This window comes from Homo sapiens, chromosome 7 (assembly GCF_000001405.40).
Source record: "Homo sapiens chromosome 7, GRCh38.p14 Primary Assembly".
Classification (NCBI taxonomy): domain Eukaryota; kingdom Metazoa; phylum Chordata; class Mammalia; order Primates; family Hominidae; genus Homo; species Homo sapiens.
The window spans coordinates 139,097,373-139,115,624 of NC_000007.14; the positions used below are offsets into that span (position 1 = coordinate 139,097,373).

At 45.3% G+C, this 18,252-nt stretch overlaps 1 protein-coding gene across 3 annotated transcripts in view, besides 6 other annotated features; it reads right to left on the reverse strand.

Moving 5' to 3' along the window:
- ZC3HAV1 (zinc finger CCCH-type containing, antiviral 1) overlaps positions 1-12,348 on the reverse strand; it is a 66,206-nt gene extending 53,858 nt beyond the window's left edge. For all 3 annotated transcript variants that reach the window (NM_020119.4, NM_001363491.2, NM_024625.4), the window contains exon 1: positions 11,652-12,348. In NM_020119.4, the coding sequence (NP_064504.2) occupies positions 11,652-11,959 (308 nt within the window). In that variant the 5' untranslated portion in view covers positions 11,960-12,348. The remainder of the gene's footprint in view (positions 1-11,651) is intronic.
- Positions 4,403-4,974: an enhancer, noted in NCBI's record as "NANOG-H3K27ac hESC enhancer chr7:138786521-138787092 (GRCh37/hg19 assembly coordinates)". NCBI's record gives its function as "activates a minimal SCP1, AML or CMV promoter by ChIP-STARR-seq in primed H9 embryonic stem cells {active_cell/tissue: H9 hESC(primed)}" and the evidence as "EXISTENCE:reporter gene assay evidence [ECO:0000049][PMID:30033119]".
- Positions 11,247-11,376: an enhancer, noted in NCBI's record as "active region_26746". NCBI's record gives its function as "activates an Ori minimal core promoter by ATAC-STARR-seq in GM12878 lymphoblastoid cells {active_cell/tissue: GM12878}" and the evidence as "EXISTENCE:reporter gene assay evidence [ECO:0000049][PMID:35858748]".
- Positions 11,957-12,056: an enhancer, noted in NCBI's record as "active region_26747". NCBI's record gives its function as "activates an Ori minimal core promoter by ATAC-STARR-seq in GM12878 lymphoblastoid cells {active_cell/tissue: GM12878}" and the evidence as "EXISTENCE:reporter gene assay evidence [ECO:0000049][PMID:35858748]".
- Positions 11,957-12,504: a biological region, named in NCBI's record as "H3K27ac hESC enhancer GRCh37_chr7:138794119-138794622".
- Positions 12,001-12,504: an enhancer, noted in NCBI's record as "H3K27ac hESC enhancer chr7:138794119-138794622 (GRCh37/hg19 assembly coordinates)". NCBI's record gives its function as "activates a minimal SCP1, AML or CMV promoter by ChIP-STARR-seq in naive H9 embryonic stem cells {active_cell/tissue: H9 hESC(naive)}" and the evidence as "EXISTENCE:reporter gene assay evidence [ECO:0000049][PMID:30033119]".
- Positions 12,297-12,456: an enhancer, noted in NCBI's record as "active region_26748". NCBI's record gives its function as "activates an Ori minimal core promoter by ATAC-STARR-seq in GM12878 lymphoblastoid cells {active_cell/tissue: GM12878}" and the evidence as "EXISTENCE:reporter gene assay evidence [ECO:0000049][PMID:35858748]".

Here is an 18,252-nt window from a genome sequence, read left to right on the forward strand (position 1 = left end):
TCATGGATGGAAACAAATATTGGAACTCCATATATATATATATATATATATATATATTTTTTTTTTTTTTTTTTTTCTTTGAGATGGAGTCTCGCTCTGTCGCCCAGGCTGGAGTGCAGTGGCGCGATCTCGGCTTATTGCAAGCTCCACCTCCTGGGTTCACGCCATTCTCCTGCCTCAGCCTCCCGAGTAGCTGGGATTACAGGTGCCCGCCACCACGCTCGGCTAATTTTTTGTATTTTTAGTAGAGACGGGGTTTCACCGTGTTAGCCAGGATGGTCTGGATCTCCTGACCTCGTGATCCGCTCGCCTCGGCCTCCTAAAGTGCTGGGATTACAGGCATAAGCCACCAAGCCCGGCCGGAACTCCTTATATTTCTTAATGTAAAAAAATCTTTTCAGCCCAGAAAAGTATTGCCTGGGCTGAAAGGGCTGGAGGAGTGGGGGGACTCCCTGGTTAACTGAGAAGGGGCACAAGAGAACCTTTAGGGCTGATGAAAATGTTCTGTATCTAGAGTGTTGTGATGGTTACACAGGGGCATCCATTTATCAAAACTCTTTAAACCATACACATTATTTACCTTTTTTTTTAAGATGGAGTCTCACGCTGTCGCCCAGGTTGGAGGGCAATGGTGCAATCTCGACTTACTGCAACCTCCACATCCTGGGTTCAAGAGATTCTCCTGCCTCAGCCTCCTGAGTAGCTGGGATTACAAGTGCACGCCACCATGCCCAGCTAAATTTTTTTTTGTTTTTTTAGTAGAGATGGGGTTCCACCATCTCTGGTGAAATTCCTGACCTCAAGTGAGCCGCCTGCCTTGGCCTCCCAAAGTGCTAGGATTACAGCATGAGCCATGGCGCCCGGCCTCCATACACTTTAAATGGGTACATTTTATTGTATGTAAATCATACCTCAATAAAATTGATTTTAAAAAGTTTTAAAAAGTAGAACAGTAAATAGTATACAAATTAAGAATTTTCCATCATAGAATGTTTAAATAAATGTACACACATTAGGAGTACATGCTCAAAACATTCTCTGCTGATAGGCATGCGGGATCAAAATGTTAGGAAACGATTTCCCTTAGATGACCTCTTTTAGCTTCATTTTCTAAATTGGTCTAAAACATATTAAAATATCTTCCCAGTGCCAGGAGTGGTGGTACACATCTGTAATCCCACCTATTCAGGAGGCTGGGGCAGGAGGGTGGCTTGAGCTCGGGAGTTTTAGATCAGCCTAAGCAAAATATTGAGACCCCCGTCTCTATTTTAATAAATAAATAAGTAAATACAAAATAATACATAAAAAATAATAAAATACTATCTCTTCCCTGTATGGGAAATAGAGAAAAGATCATGAAATAAGTCTCCCCTCTCTCCTCCCAACCTGAGACCAGCTCCCCTGCTGCAATTTGGTTGAAGTGATTTCTCACTGGGCCTGAAATCCTAGGTGCTCCTGAAACCTTTTACCCCTTTTTCACCTCTATGTTACTATGGCTTCTTCTGTTCCAAAGTAGCCGCAGGAAAAGCTCGCAGATACCTGGTTTGGAAGTAAATACAGGCAGAAGCAGTAAGCAAATTAGAACCATTTAATGGATGGAAAAATATATCTACTTATTTTAAATGTGTAATTTTGCCATCTCTGCATTATGTAAAAAGTAGAAAATATTGTGTTATCACATGCTTCATTTGTCACTATTTAAGATTTTATCATGGTTCACAATATTACAATGTCATAATGTTTGTTAGCTTAATTTCTAAAGAAAATTGCAGACACCGAGAGTCAAATTTGATCAAATTAAAAATTTGAGATGTAGTGTTTGTGAAAAGAGAACAAAAATTCCCAAATGATTCTTACAGGGTGCACCCTTTTGTGTCACGATGTTGCAGAAAACAGCATGTCTCTAAGGCCACCAGTCTGACAATAACATGACTCCATGGACAGTGCAGAATTAGTTACAGAAGGAACTTCAGGAAGATTTCTCCTAGATGAATACGCCCACACAAACAACACAGAACATGCAAGAGTAAAATGCAAATCATTTTTCCTTAGTGAAAGAAGCAGACACAAAAGGCCACATATTATTAGATCCCATTTACAGGAAATGTCCAGAATTGGAAAACAAACAAAAAGTAGGTTAGAGATCGCCAGGGGCTGAGGAAAGGGGAGAATGAGGACTGGTTCCTGATGGTTGTGGGGTTTCTCTTTGGGGTGATGAAAATGTTCTGGAATTCCAATAGTGGTAACAGTTGCACAACATCATGAATATACTTATTGCCACTGAACTGTACACTTTAAAATAGTTTTACTTCGGGAGGCCCAGGAGGGCAGATCACCTGAGGTCAGGAGTTCAAGAGCAGCCTGGCCAATGTGGCAAAACCCTGTCTCTACTAAAAATACAAAAATTAGCCAGGCATGGTGGCGCGTGCCTGTAATCCCAGCTACTTGGGAGGCTGAGGCAAGAGAATCGCTTGAACCCAGGAGGCGGAGGTTGCAGTGAGCTGAGATCACACCACTGCACTCTAGCCTGGGTGACAGAACAAAAAATAAATAAATAAATAAATAAATAAACCTCAAAAAAGTAAATAAATAAAATAAATAGTTTTAGCCATTTTTAAAATGGTAAAAAACAAACAAAAAATAAATACTTTATCTCAAAAAATAAATAAAAATAGTTTTAGCCATTTTTAAAATGGTAAAAAACAAACAAACAAAAACTGTTACAAACAAAAATAGAGTGCTATGATGACCAAAAAAGTAAAATGCGAATAAGAAGCAACTACTAAGATGCCAAGTAAGACAAACTTAAAAAAATGAGTAATAAGACTTAAAAGGGCTAGAGATCCAGAATATATAAAGAATTAAAACCACAATGAGGGCTGGGCGCGGTGGCTCACGCCTGTAATCCCAGCACTTTGGGAGGCCAAGGTGGGCAGATCACGAGGTCAGGAGATCGAGACCACCCTAGCGAACATGGTGAAACCCTGTCTCTACCCAAAATACAAAAAAAAAAAATTAGCCAGGGGTGGTGGCATGCACCTCTAGTCCCAGCTACTCAGGAGGCTGAGGCAGAATGGCGTGAACCCAGGAGGCGGAGACTGCACTGAACCGAGATTGCACCACTGCACTCCAGCCTGGGCGACAGACCGAGGCTCTGTCTCAAAAAAAAACAAAAACAAAAACAAAAACAAACAAAAAAAACCACAGTGATACAATTTCACATTCCTTGTATTGGCACAAATTTTTAAAAGCTGACGATACCACTTGGCCACTATGTGAGGCAAGGGAAGGCTCTTATTCTTCTGGTGGGAGTATAACTTGGCAAACACACTTCGGAAAACAATTTGGCATTATCACATAAAACTTTAAGAATCAAAATTCCACTCTCCCTCTCTTTCCACGGTCTCCCTCTCCCTCTCTTTCCACGGTCTCCCTCTCCCTCTCTTTCCACGGTCTCCCTCTCCCTCTCTTTCCACGGTCTCCCTCTCCCTCTCTTTCCACCGTCTCCCTCTGATGCGGAGCCGAGGCTGGACTGTACTGCTGCCATCTCGGCTCACTGCAACCTCCCTGCCTGATTCTCCTGCCTCAGCCTGCCGAGTGCCTGCGATTGCAGGCGCGTGCCGCCACGCCTGACTGGTTTTCGTATTTTTTTGGTGGAGACGGGGTTTCGCTGTGTTGGCCGGGCTGGTCTCCAGCTCCTAACCGCGAGTGATCCGCCAGCCTCGGCCTCCCGAGGTGCCGGGATGGCAGACGGGGTCTTGCTCACTCAGTGCTCAATCTTGCCCAGGCTGGAGTGCAGTGGTGTGATCTCGGCTAGCTACAACCTCCACCTCCCAGCCGCCTGCCTTGGCCTCCCAAAGTGCCGAGATCGCAGCCTCTGCCCTGCCGCCACCCCGTCTGGGAAGTGAGGAGCGTCTCTGCCTGGCCGCCCATCGTCTGGGATGTGAGCAGCCCCTCTGCTCGGCTGCCCAGTCTGGGAAGTGAGGAGCGCCTCTTCCCGGCCGCCATCCCGTCTAGGAAGTGAGGAGCGTCTCTGCCAGGCCGCCCATCGTCTGAGATGCGGGGAGCGCCTCTGCCCTGCCGCCCCGTCTGGGATGTGAGGAGCGCCTCAGCCCGGCCACCACCCCGTCTGGGAGGTGTACCCAACAGCTCATTGAGAACGGGCCATGATGACGATGGCGGTTTTGTGGAATAGAAAAGGGGGAAAGGTGGGGAAATGATAGAGAAATCGGATTGTTACTGTGTCTGTGTAGAAAGTAGACATGGGAGACTTCATTTTGTTCTGTACTAAGAAAAATTCTTCTGCCTTGGGATGCTGTTGATCTATGACCTTACCCCCAACCCTGTGCTCTCTGAAACATGTGCTGTGTCCACTCAGGGTTAAATGGATTAAGGGCGGTGCAAGATGTGCTTTGTTAAACAGATGCTTGAAGGCAGCAGACTCGTTAAGAGTCATCACCACTCCCTAATCTCAAGTACCCAGGGACACAAACACTGCGGAAGGCCGCAGGGTCCTCTGCCTAGGAAAACCAGAGACATTTGTTCACTTGTTTATCTGCTGACCTTCCCTCCACTATTGTCCTATGACCCTGCTAAATCCCCCTCTGTGAGAAACACCCAAGAATGATCAATAAAAAAAAAAAAAAATCAAAATTCCACTACTAGATCTCTAGGGAAACTCATGTACATGTACACAAAGAAGCATATACCAAAATGTTCAAAGCATAATGGTTTAATAGCAAATACTTAAAACAATATCAATTTTACTTTGTTTTTTCAGAGGCAGGGTCTCATTCTATTGCCCAGGCTGGAGGGCAGTGGCGCAACTGCACCTGACCGCAGCCTTGTCCTCCCAGGCTCAAGTGATCCTCCCGCCTCAGCCTCCTGAGTAACTGGGACCACAGGTGTGTGCCACTGTGTCCAACTAATTTTATTTTTTAATGTTTTTGTAGGAGCTATGTTGCCCGGGCTGGTCTCGAACCCCTGACTTCAAGAGATTCTCCCACCTCGGCCTCTTGAAGTACTGGGATTACAGATATTAGCTACTGAGGCCAGTCTCAATTTTAATAATAAGAAGATCAATATATAAATTGTGTACATTCATGCAAAAGAAAACAATGAAGACATTTCAGGGAATCAGAGTAGACCTTCTCTAAAATTGGTGGGGCCCAGAGCAAGGTTATAAATGGAGGCTTGGATACAAATGTCTAAATATTTAACAGTAATAAATCATGCTGAGCTGGGCTTAGTGGCTCATGCCTGTAATCCCAGCAGTTTGGGAGGCTGAGGCAAGAGGAATGCTTGAGCCCAGGCACTCGAGACCAGCCTGGGCAAAATAGTGAGACACTGTCTCTATACACACACACACACACACACACACACACACACACACACACACAAATTAGCCAGGTATGGTGGCACTAGCCTGGTCCCAGCTACTGGGAGGCTGACATGGGAGGATCGTTTGAATCCAGGAGGTGGAGGCTGCAGTGAGCCATATTTGCACCACCACACTCCAGAGTGGTGACAGAACAAGATCCTGTCTCAAAAAAAAAAAAAGTATATATATATGTATATGTATATGTATATGTATATGTATATGTGTGTGTGTGTTTATATATGATATATATAAAATAAAAACTTTAATACAAAAACTTTAAAATTTGTTGTAAAAAAATTTTTTTGGAGACAGAGCCACACTCTGTTGCCCAGGCTGGTGTGCACTGGCATGAACATAGCTCACTGTAACCTCAAAATTCCTGGGATCAAACAATCCTTCTGCCTCAGCCTCCAGCACTGCTAGGACTATGGGCATGCACCACCACGCCCAGCTAATATTTTTTATATAATTATTTTTATTTTTTATTTATTTTACTTGTTTTTTATTTTTTTATTTTTTTATTTTTTTTTTATTTTTTGATGGGGTCTCACTATGTTGTCCAGGCTAGTCTTGAACTCCTGTCCTCAATCCTCTCATCTTGGCCTCCCAAAGCACTGGGAGTACACCCATGAGCCACTGCACCCAGCCCAGGAAAAAAATTTTTTTTGAATTCAAATAATGACTATTTCAAAGCCTTCCGACTGGCATAAGCCAAAAAAGTCTGATAACACCAAGCATTAATTGGCCAGAAAATGAGGAAACTGGGACACTCAGACATATAAGTATAAATTGGCACAGCCACCTTTATACTAATTCGTCAGAATCTGGAAAAGTTGAAGCTATGTAACAATTCAAACCAACAATTCCACTTCCTAATGATCTACCCTGGAAAAGCTCTAACCATGAGCACCAGGAAACACTTGCACGTAAATTCTTGGCAGCACGATTTGGTATAACAAAAACCTGGAAATATACTATATATCCATTACTGGGGGGAATAGGTAACTGAACTGTGGTATAAATCCTATGATGAAATACTTTTCAACTGTTAAAATGAATAAACTAGGTCCTTGTGTAGCAATATGAATAGATCTCCAAAACACAGCATTGAATAAAAATTCTAAAACACATAAAATACTACATTTTGTATATGGATGCAAACATATACAAGAGGAAATTATAAAATCATGGAAGGACAAGATACACACCAAAATCATGATTGAAGCTGCTTCTTAGGAAAGGGAAATGAGACTGGGGATGAGAAAAAAATAACCTTAGGTCTGTTATGATTGTTTAGTATATTTTAAAAGAGGAGCAAAACTGAAAAATGTGAACACTTATTTATCCCAGGAGGTGAGTTATAACTTTTATGGGTTCAGAATAAATATTCTCTGATGCTTGCGTTTTTCAGTATTCTATTCAACTTGCGAAACAGTCAACTAGTCCTCTTCCCATCTACCCACCCCCACCCAAAATGTGAATTAACCGAAAAGGAAAGACATACAAACAGGAAAGAACCCAGAGGAAACACCCACATCGGCAAAAACCGCAAAGCAAGGTAAAGACCCTTAGGCAGCCTGCTTGAAACAGTTAACAGAAATCATGCAGGCAAAATAAATTTTTGAATTAATAACTTCATATAGTTACTGGACAATGTAAGTAGCTAGTTAAGAAGTCAAGGCCGGGCGCGGTGGCTCACGCCTGTAATCCCAGCACTTTGGGAGGCTGAGGTGGGCGGATTGCCTGAGCTCAGGAGTTGGAGACCAGACTGGGCAACATAGTGAAATCCCGTCTCTACTAAAATACAAAAATGAAAAAAAATTAGCCAGGCGTGGTGGCAGGCGCCTGTAGTCCCAGCTACGCGGGAGGCTGAGGCAGGAGAATCGCTTGAACCGGGGAGGCGGAGGTTGCAGCGAGCTGAGATCACGCCACTGCACTCCAGCCTGGCAACAGAGCGAGACTCTGTCACAAAAAAAAAAAAAAAAAAAAAAAAAGTCAAACAAGGCCGGGAGCGGTGGCTCATGCCTGTAATCCTGCACTTTGGGAGGCTGGGAAGATTGCTTAAGCCTAGGAGTTTGAGAGCAGCCCAGGCAAAATGGCAAAATCCCATCTCTACTAAAAAATACAAAAATTAGCTGGGTGTGGTGGCACATGCTTGTAATCCCAGCTACTCGGGAGGCTGAGGCAGGACAATCGCTTGAACCGGGGAGGCGGAGGTTGCAGCGAGCTGAGATCACGCCACTGCACTCCAGCCTGGGTGACAGAGTGAGACTCTGTCTCAAAAAAAAAAAAAAAAAAAAAGAAAAGAAAAGTTAGCCGGACATGGTGGCGCCCACCTGTAGTCCCAGCTACTCAGGAGGCTGAGGGAGGAGGATCATCTGAGCCTAGGAATTCGAAGTGGCAGTGAGCTATGACCGTGCCACTGCACTTCAGTCTGGGTGACAAAGCAAGATCTCATTTCTAAAGAAAAAAAAAAGGAAGTCATGCAGATCTAGGTTCAAATACCAATCCTGCCAGCTTCTAGTTATGTTACTTTCAGTAGATTTCTGAAAGGCTCCATGCCCGAGTTTCCTACAATAAGGATGGGACTTAAAATACTACCTTAGGAGCTATCCTAAAGACTAACCTGGATATCATCTCCAAAGTGCTTATCATAGTGGTTGGCACATAGTTATTTGTTCGATAAATAGTGATTATTTTTGCATCAGAAGTGGGATTAGAACTCCATGTGTGGGCATATATTTCAGCAAAGCAAATAGAAATATCCAAACCGATTCACCAAAACAATTATCCAACATTGAAGCAAGCCCTGTTGTCAACTAAAATGTATCACTAAAAACATTGCAAAAGAAAAGACAGGAACTACAGAATAGACAGGATAAATCCTATCTATAAATAATAGTACCACAGACAAAATTTTATACACCCAGCACAATGCAAATCGTCCCCCTGTAAACAGAGACCAGTTTAGTGAACTGAATAGTAATGTCAAGATGGGTATCAATTAGTTAACAGACCCCATTAACTGGTAATCTACAAAGAAAGTTCTTAAACTCACAAGTGGCAAGTTTTGGAAGACAAGGTTTTATTACTCGCTAAGAGGAGAATATTTTTAAAACATAAGTAGGGAGGAAAAAAACATGTTTTCTAGGACCCGAGGACAAAAAAAAAATTCTCCCAGAGGTCCTTATTACAACACTTTATACATTAATAGATTAAAAGTTTGTAATTCCCAAATTCAAAAGTGATATAAAATGAAATTAAAAATATGGCTCTGCCAATAAATGTTAGGAAATAAGATTTTATCACTCTACTAAAAAAAATAAACTTTATTGACTTCTCTGGAGGGTCCATCCAAATTTAGATAGACCAAATAATCCCTATATTATATATATTCTTATAAAAGTGGAGGTTAACAACCCAATTAACGAGTTTAAAACAGTTTTGCTGTTTCAAACCAGGGAAAAATATACCATAATAAACTTCATAAAACTAAAATTTCTAAGCATATTGCCTACAACAAATTGAAACAAAGTATTTAAATGTTAGATATGTAACATATGAAAACAATTATAGGCCAGGTGAGGCAGTGGCTCAGGCCTGTAATCCCAGCACTTTGGGAGGCCTAGGCCGGCAGATCGCTTGAGCTCAGGAGTTCGAGACCGGCCTGGCCAACATCGCGAAACCCCATCTCTACTAAAAATACAAAAAATTAGCCAAGCATGGTGGCACACACCTATAATCCCAGCTACTTGGGAGTCTGAGGCAGTAGAATTGCTTGAACCTGGGAGGCAGAGTTTGCAGTGAGCTGAGATCGGGTCACTGCACTCCAGCCTTGGGTGACCCTATCTCAAAAAATTTTAAAAAAATCTTTTTTTAAAAGGATTATGTCTATGTATCCTTTTCCCTGAAAATAAAAGTTGGATTTATAAGACAATCAGGGAAATTTGAATACCAACTGGACAATAGATGATATTAAAATTGTAATTTTTTTTACAAAAATGTGATCATTGTACTGTATTATGTTAATAAAACATAGTTCTTATGTTTTAGAGATACTAAAGTACTTAGTAATCAAATGGTTGCTGAGATTTGCTTTAAAATAACACATTGGAGTTGGGGACACATGGGGAATAGGGAGAATAAATGAAACAAAACTGGCCATATTTTCAAAACTGTTGAAATGATGGGTACAAGGGGCTTCATCATTTTTTTCTCTCTACTTTTGAGTATGTTGAAAATATCCATAGTAAGAAATAAAAAAATAAAAAGCATATGTATTTCATACTAAAAATCAACACTAGTTGGTGAAGAATTTGTCATAATAGAAAAGATAAGAACAGAAAAAACATAACAAAGCCTTCCAACCATGTTATTTGGTGTAGTGCTAGAACATGCTAGAATGTTCCTTCCTTTTCTATCCTCCACCCTCTGCTCTCTTCTCCTTCTCAGAGATTTCTTCAGTGACCAGCAATGACTTAGATGATTTCCTCGATACCCATAACTCCCAGCAACTCAGAAACAACCTTCAAATTGTTGCCCCACAACATATTAAAGAAAATTTTAAATAAAGGAACACATTCAAGCACTTTTTAAAAACGTTAGAGTGAGCTGAAAGGGTTTTTGCTCTAAAGAAATTTTTAAAAAAATACATTGCGTCCTCTACCTCATCCATCTAAAACACTTACCTTTGTGTGTTTTATTACACGTATATTGGGGGTGAGTGACTGGAGTTTTTGTTAGGTGCGTGATCAAAAGTTTGCCGACTGGTCGGACTTGGTGGCTTATGCCTGTAATCCCAGCACTTTGGGAGGCTGAGACAAGTGGATCACCTGAGGTCAGGAGTTCGAGACCAGCCTGGCCAACATGGTGAAACCCTGTCTCTACTAAAAATACAAAAATTGGCCGGGTGCGATGGTGCATGCCTGTAATCCCAGCTACTCGGGAGGCTGAGGCAGGAGAATCGCTTGAACCTGGGAGGTGGAGGTTGCAGTGAACCGAGGTGGAGCCACTGCACTCCAGCCTAAAAAGTTTGCTGACAACCATTTTAAACCCTGGGACACAAGTCAAAGTGTTTAAGAATGGGCCAAGTGTAAAAAGTACTGTATCGAGAAAAGTAATTGAGCAGAGCACATAGTGACAGAAAGGGTGGGAGGAAAGACTGGCCATTCATTAATTCAACAAGGCGTTCATTCAGTTCATTCAGAAATTAGATGGGAAGGCAGAATCCGCCAAGAAGGGAAAGAGACTTCACAAAAAGGACTTGGTGATGACAGATTGTGAGGAGGATTAAAACCCTGCCTGGGGGAAAAGATGAGTTTGACTCCATGGACAGGACACACGCGGGAGAGGAAGGGCTTGGGATCAAGGGAAAGGCCTGGGCAGCGAATGTGGACCTGGAAGCCATCTTTTTAGATGTGCAGCTGTCCTCGAGGGAGCAAGCTCTCTTAGGGAGAAACTGGGAAGAAAATCACTCAAGAGTCTTAACCCAAACCTTGCAGCGCATCTGCATTTAGACGAAAAAAAAAAAAGGCAAACGGAAACAACAGAAGCAGTGGCCCGAGACGTGAGCCACACTGCTTCAAAGGGATTTAAGAGAGTTGTCCCAAGGCAGGCGGTCAACTGCGCGCGCCACCGTAGAGAGACCACCCGGAGGGAAGGCCCGCGGCTGCTACAACTTCAGGAACCTGGAAAAGGGCCACCCCTGCTACGCGCCAGGCATCAGAAAAGCGGTGATGAGGGGCATGGGGGTGACCGGGAAGGGAGGGACAAGCAGAGAGACCTGCGGCTCGCTCCGGCGGAGACGGACCGGGGGCCCAGGGCGGCTGGGTTACTGGCTCCGCCACGTCTAGGGAAGGAGGTAGTAGGGAGGGAAAGACTCAAGATACCAAAGACGGGAGGCTCTTTCCTTCCTTCCCAAACCTGCCTACCGCTTCTCTAGGCCCTGGCTGGCTCCAGAGCACTTTATTCTTCTGATTCGTGCGGGCGGGCGGGGAAAGGGGTGGAGGTTGAGCCTGGTCTCCTCCAGGCACTAGCATTTTAGCCATTCTCGAGAAAATGTCTGGAGGTGCCGGAAGGAAGGGAACTGCAAAGGTAGAAGCGCGGGCCCTGCAGAGGCTCCCAGAGGGGAGCAGAGAAGGGAGTGGCTGGAGGCGGAGGCTGTCAGGTGCGGGGTCCCGGCGAAGCCGTGCCCCTCCCAGAACATTGCCCGCCTGGACAGTCCACCCCGACCACGGCTGCGGACAGCGCCCCTCCCTCCGGGTGCACTCACCGCTCGGACTGCGAATAGTTGCACCGGCCCAGCAAGTTGAGTTTGCAGAGATGCAGGTTATCGCAGGGTCTCTGGCAGTACTTGCGACGGCAGACCCGGGCTCGAGTGGTGGCCACCACCGATCGGGTGATCCCGGCCTCGCCGCCGGTCTCCAACACCACAAAGCGGTCGGGCCCGGCCACCTGCAGCACCTCACAGAGCTGCGGCTCAGACAGCGCGATCTCCTGGAGCAGCGCGTCCAGGGCCATGCGGCCCCCGTGGGCGCACAGGATTTTGGTGATGAAGCAGCACACCTCCGGGTCCGCCATGGCGCGCTGGCTGTGCTGGCTCTGCCGCGGCGCGGGACTCGGTTCCGCGGAAATCGGAAATCGAAACTTACAAGTGTCCAGGGGCGGGCGCGGGCGGTGCTACTGCTGGGCGCGCCCGGAGTCAGCGAGGGCGCGCTCTCCGTCGCCGTTAGCCCAGCCCAGCGATCCACTCTCGGCTCTCAGGTCAAGAGGCTAGATCTCACCGACCGGGTCCTAGTGGCAGGTTTACAGCCGGCCGCAAGGGCAACTGGGTGGAAAGAAAGAGAACGCGCGGGCAAATCTGCTGGTGACCGCCTGGGGTGGCCCCCTCTCGGTTCTAGGCTCGGCGAGGGTGAGGTTCTCCAGCCGGGCTCCGCGAGCCTTCTTTAGAAAGAAGAGAAACTAAAAGCGATCTTGGGGCTCTGGCCGGTGTTTTATAAGCCAGCCGACTGAGGCGTGTGACGCAAGTCCTGAGAGCCCTGTTGAGGAGTGCGCACCCCACCCATTCCCGGAAAGAGCAGACCCTAGCGAGCGCTTCCTGCGAGCCGTGCGCTCTGCCTCTGTTGGTAGTGAATCTTCCCAGCAACTCCACATGGTAGATATTATTATCCTCACCCTGAACTTGAGGAAGTAACTTGCACGAACACGCACTGGCATCAAGCGGAGCCCAGATGCCACCGAGTTTCCCCAAATCGCGTCCCCAGGCCCCAGATCGTGGTACCCCAGGCCCCGATGTGCAAGTTTCTCCTCCACCACCGTGCCCTCTTAAAGAACAACGATTGCCACTCTCCCTCGTTTCTGCCTTCTCACGAACTTTTGGACAAACCACTTCTTGACATGGTCTTGCTTACCTAGAATCGCTAACTCGGTGCCCTGAACCACTGCTTGTACCTCAATCACGGTGGACATGCTAAGACATATCCCAAGATTTCAGATCGGTTCCTCCCCGTAGAGATTGGGACAAGAACTTTTCCACCGTGGGGACGTACTTTGACCCCCAGAGTTGACATAAAGATTGTTTTTAAGTGAAAACATTGAGCTACAGAAGATGTAGAAAGAAATCTTAATGAAACTTCCCTTATCTGACTAAAGCAAAACCTCCCGAAAACATGGTGCCATTAAAAGCCTCTCGGAGTATTCAGCTGCCAGGAAGACAGACTGTCCCATTACCATTAGCACCAAAAAACCCAATGGGCTGGGTGCTGTGGCTCAGCCCGTAATCCCAGCGCTTTAGGAAGCCGAGGCAGTGGGAGGATTGCTTGAACCCAGGAGTTCAAGACTAGCCTGGGCAACATAGTGAGCTCTCTTCAATAATAATAATAATAATAATAATAATAATAATAATAATAATAATAAAAACAACCCGGGCATGGTGGTGTGCAGCCGCAGTCCCAGCTACTCGGGAGCCTGAGGTGGGAGGATTGCTTGAGCACGGGAGGAGGCTGCAACGAGCCGGGATTGTGCCACTGCACTCCAGCCTGGGGGATAGCGCTGAGACTTTGTCTCAAAAACACAAAACAACCCAATCAAAACTTCCAAACTCTCCTACTGAAGCCCTAAAACTTTCCTTTTTGTTAAGTTGAGGTATATAAACCTTTACTTTTGAGTTTTCTGTTACTGGAAGCTCCTGCATGCATGTGTAAATAAACTTTGTCTTTTCTCCTATTTATCTGTCTAGTGCCAGTTAATTTTTAGGCCCCCAAAGACAGGACACAAGTTGAAGAGAAAAAAGGTTTTTTTTTCCAACATCTTCAAATAAAATAGATGGGTCATTTGATCAGATAAGAAATACATCTTTTTAAAAAATAATAGATTCTGGTTGCTAACTTAGAAATTCTTCAAAATGATTAATGAGAATTCTCCTCAGTTTTGTCATTCATGGTATATAAACCCTCTTTCAGGAATAGAGTACTTTGTTATGAAAACCAGCCAAACATGGGGGCCACATAGGATCATCTTAGGATGTCTAAGAGGGACATCTTGTTCCCTCTAGTTGCTGCTTCTATAGTTGTCTTTTAATCCACTTGGCCTTATTTGTGGTCTGACAGGTTCCCAGGGACCTTTTATTATCAAATCAACTAAGTTCTAGATGTTTATTGACTATCTTCTATGTGGTATTTACATTAGTTAGTAATGTAAGGACATGCAGAAGTTTAAAAAACAGTCCCTGCACTCAAGGAGCATGTATGCGAAGACATGAAAAAATGCATGGAAATATAAGCAAATTCATGGGTAAATGCCACAATGGGAATATAGAAGATGAGAGACTGAAGAGTCTAGTTTGGCTACAGTGGTTGGGAGTACAGACATAGAATCTCCTCCAATTTGAAGCCATGAAAAATGATTTAAGGGCCAGGTGCAGTGGCTTGTGCCTGTAATCCCAACACTTTGGGAGGCCAAGGCGGGAGGATCATGACCATCCTGGGCAACATACTGTGAGATCCACCTGGGCAACATAGCGAGACCTCATCTCCACTAAAAATAAAAATTAGCCAGACATAGTGGTATGTGCCTGTAGTCCCAACTACTTGGGAGGCTGCGGCGGGAGGATTTCTTGAGCCCGGGAGTTCAAGGTTGCAGTGAGCTACAATTGTGCCACTGCACTCCAGCAAAGGCAACAGAGGAAGATCCTTTTGGAAAGGGAAGAGAGGGAAAGGGAAAGGGAAACGGAAATGGAAAGTGACAGAGAAAGGGAAAGGGAAAGTGAAAATGAAAGAGAAAGGGAAATGGAAAGGGAAAGGGAGGGAAAGGAAAGAAAGGAAGGGAAAGGAAAGGAAGAGAAAGGAAAGGAAGGAAGGGAAAGGAAAGAAGGGAAAGGAAAGGGGAAAAGGAAGGAAAAGGAAAAAAAGGAAGGAAAAGGAAAAGGGGAAAAAAGAAGGGAAAGTGAAAGGAAAAAAGAAAGGGAAAGTGAAAGAGAAAGGTGATTTAAGGAGTTCTGGGAAGGGAAAAGGAGACATTTTGAAAAATTTTGAAATATGTGCCATCAGAGATTGGGTTCTCCAGGAAGGAGATCCTGACATGGAGTTAAGAGTGCAGAACTTTCTCTGCACTTTTTCTGGGGCATAATGCCAGAAAAAGTCAAAGGAAAAAGCATGATTGATCCATGGGGCCTATCAGACTTTTGTGCGGACCTAACAAAGTCTCTGCCAGCCCAATGAGGAGCTCTGGAGTAGGAGTCCAGCTTTGGACAGAAAAGGCTAGGCCCTTGTACTGCCTTGCTCAGTCACCGGTGGGGGCCACCAGAGAAGTGGATGACTTCAGCTCGAATGCTGGGGCAGATCTTGAAAGAGCTAAAGCTGGAGGATATTGGCTAAACATGCTCCTCAAAGCTGGGCTGCAAGCTTGACCTGAGTGCCACCCTGTGTCAGCTGTAGTCCACCCTTTGTACTACATGGCTTTCTTTATCCATTTGTATTTAGGGAACAGGCTTTTCAGGGTCACTCTTCCTACAAGGAAGCTTACCAGAGAGAAATTAGTGGAATGAACTATAGTCCTTGTCACTGCAGTTGGTCTCAAGGCCACAGCTGGTGGTCTGGTCCTCATCATATCCCTCTACCACTATCCATTCCAATCCCTCTCACCCTTGGCCACCACCTCAGCTGCTCTCAGTAGCTTAATCTGGTCGGGTGCCCTATTTGAAAGTGGTCTGAGCACATCTCAGTCCCAGCTGGGCAAAGGATTACCAAGAGACACCAAAATAGGTCACCAGAATTCCATACATATTCCACCTGCCCACATTGTGTAACAACAGCCACACCTCCTGCTGACCAGCAACAGTTACCTCGAATAAGATGGCCATTCCCTTTCTTACTTGCTAGTCTCTGACCATTAGGAGGCCAAAGTACCTGGTGACAGCCATCACAGTAGTCCAGTGGGATCTCTGTGGTATCTCCAGGCAAGAGTGTGCCCCTTTGGGGAACCAAGACCTATAACTCTGCAGAGCCCAGCATTGCTGGGAGAGGAAATTGCAGGGGGTCATTGGAATTATACTAAGTAGGGCCACTCAGGCTTACCCATTCTTTCCAGACTCATGTATGGACACAGTACCATACTAACTTGACCGATTCAAGGCATATACCACGATGTTCTGGAGTCTGTGTCATCATTGTAGGGTATCAGCTCCATTCTGGTGCTTGACTCCATCTTTAACTAGCCATTCCAATACTTCATCCTATAGCTACTGGGTGGTGAAGTGTATGATAGGACCATGGATAGTACCATGTTCATGGGTTCATTCCCTCCACTTTCTGTGCCATGAAAAGATTCACCTGATAAGATGCTATGTTAAGTGTGATTCCATGTCTGTGGATCGGGCAATCTTTAAGTCTCCAGAAAGTGGTGCTACTGGCCGGGCACGGTGGTTCAAGCCTGTAATCTCATCACTTTGGGAGGCTGAGGCAGGGGGATCACTTGAGGTCAGGAGTTCCAGACCAGCCTGACCATCATGGTGAAACCCTGTGTCTACTAATAATACAAAATTAGCCGGGTGTGGTAGCACACGCCTGTAATCCCAGCTATTTGGGAGGCTGAGGCAGGATAATCGCTTGAACCCAGAAGGCAGAGGTTGCAGTGAGCTGAGATCGCACTATTGCACTCCAGCCTGGGCAACAAGAGTGAAATTCCATCTAAAAAAAAAAAAAAAGAGTGCTACTACTGAGGCTCTGCAGGGAGGAAGGGCAACCCCAAATCCAGAATAACTGCCTCTTCTTGTGAGAACCACCGATGGTTCTGCCAGGACAAAAGGGGCCCGATGCAGTCTACTGGTCCCCAAGTAGTCTATTGGTCTCCTTAAGGAATAGAGCTTAGCATTGGTCTTTATGGCTGGCAGATCAGACACTCAGAGGTGGCAGTAGCTGTGTTTATTTTGGCAAATGATAATCTATGCTGTTAGGTTCTTGCATCGCTTCCATCTCCTGGCCACCATGGCCTCTTTGAGCAGCAGTGGGGGAGGGGGCCTGTCACTAAGCCTGGCCAACATTAACTGGCCAAGTTATTTTGTGTAGTTGGCACATCTTTTGTGGGTCTTAATGTGATATGAACTGCCCACTTCCATACATCTATTCATATGCTTCCTTTTACTTTTAGGCTCCCAAACTCCCAGCCAGGCCACCATCACTGCCCATGAGACCATGTATGTTCTAACCCTAGGCCATACTCCTTCCATACGAAGTGATGACTAGGTACACTCTCAAAGCTCCTCCCGCTGGGGAGATTTTCCCTTACCACTGTTTTTCAAGGACTTCCCTGAGTGAGACTGTAATATAGCTGCCATGCATTTTCAGCTTGTACCCACATATTAAGCTAGCCCATCCTTAACGCAAACTTGGTCTTTTTCCCTCCTCCTTTAGCTGGTTATATGGGACCCCCTCACATGACCACAGGTGAGGCTGGGGGAGGGGTGCTGGTGCAACCGTAGTGAATGACATGGAAATCTGGGCTAATTGCTCATGCAGCTTGAGTGTGCGTGTGCCCTCTGGTCCCACTTGTGTTCAGTCCCAGATGTACCAGTTTTATCCTATGATGGCTTTGATACTGACCCGCCCTGACCTTATCACTTGGTGTGTCTAACAGGACGTAGCTGATGGCAGCCAGTTTTGAATCCATGATCACTTGGTGTCTCCACCAGGGCCCAGTAGAAAGTAGGAGCTGTTTTCTGAAAGGAGTGTAATCCTTCACTGCAGTTGGCATGACCTTGTTACACTATCCAAGGAGTCTGCATTGTGATTCCTCTATTGGGACTCACCATAAATGCCATACTACATCTTTTTCCATCACTGACATCTCCAACATGAGAAGCTGTGCCAGATTTTACAGTCCACTCAAAAGGGCTGCTTGTGTCACAGCCTGGAGAGCTCTTTCCTGTTCTGAGCCTCACTCAAAGCTGGCAATCTCTGTGTAACCCAGTATATGCGCAGCAGCAGTATTCTTAGGTGTGAAATGTGTTTTGTCAAGAACCCAAAGATTCCTAACAGACTTTGTGCTTCCTTCTTTCCAATAAATATAAATGATGCAACAATTTTTCTTTTGCCTTGGAAGGAATGTCCCAGCACACTGGTGACCATTGGACCTTTCAAATCGTTAGTGAAGTGGCAGGTCACCGTATCTTTGTAGGATTTATTTCCCACTCTCAGGAGCACATGTGTCATACCAAGGCCTCTACCATGCTCTTCACCTCTTTCTCATCCTGCTAGAGCAGCATGACATCCTCGATGTGATGGATCAATGTGATGTTACGTGAGATGTCCAAATGCTCCAGTTCTCTTTGGACTAGATTACGGCAGAGGACTGAAAAGGAACATAGCCCTGTGGCAAAA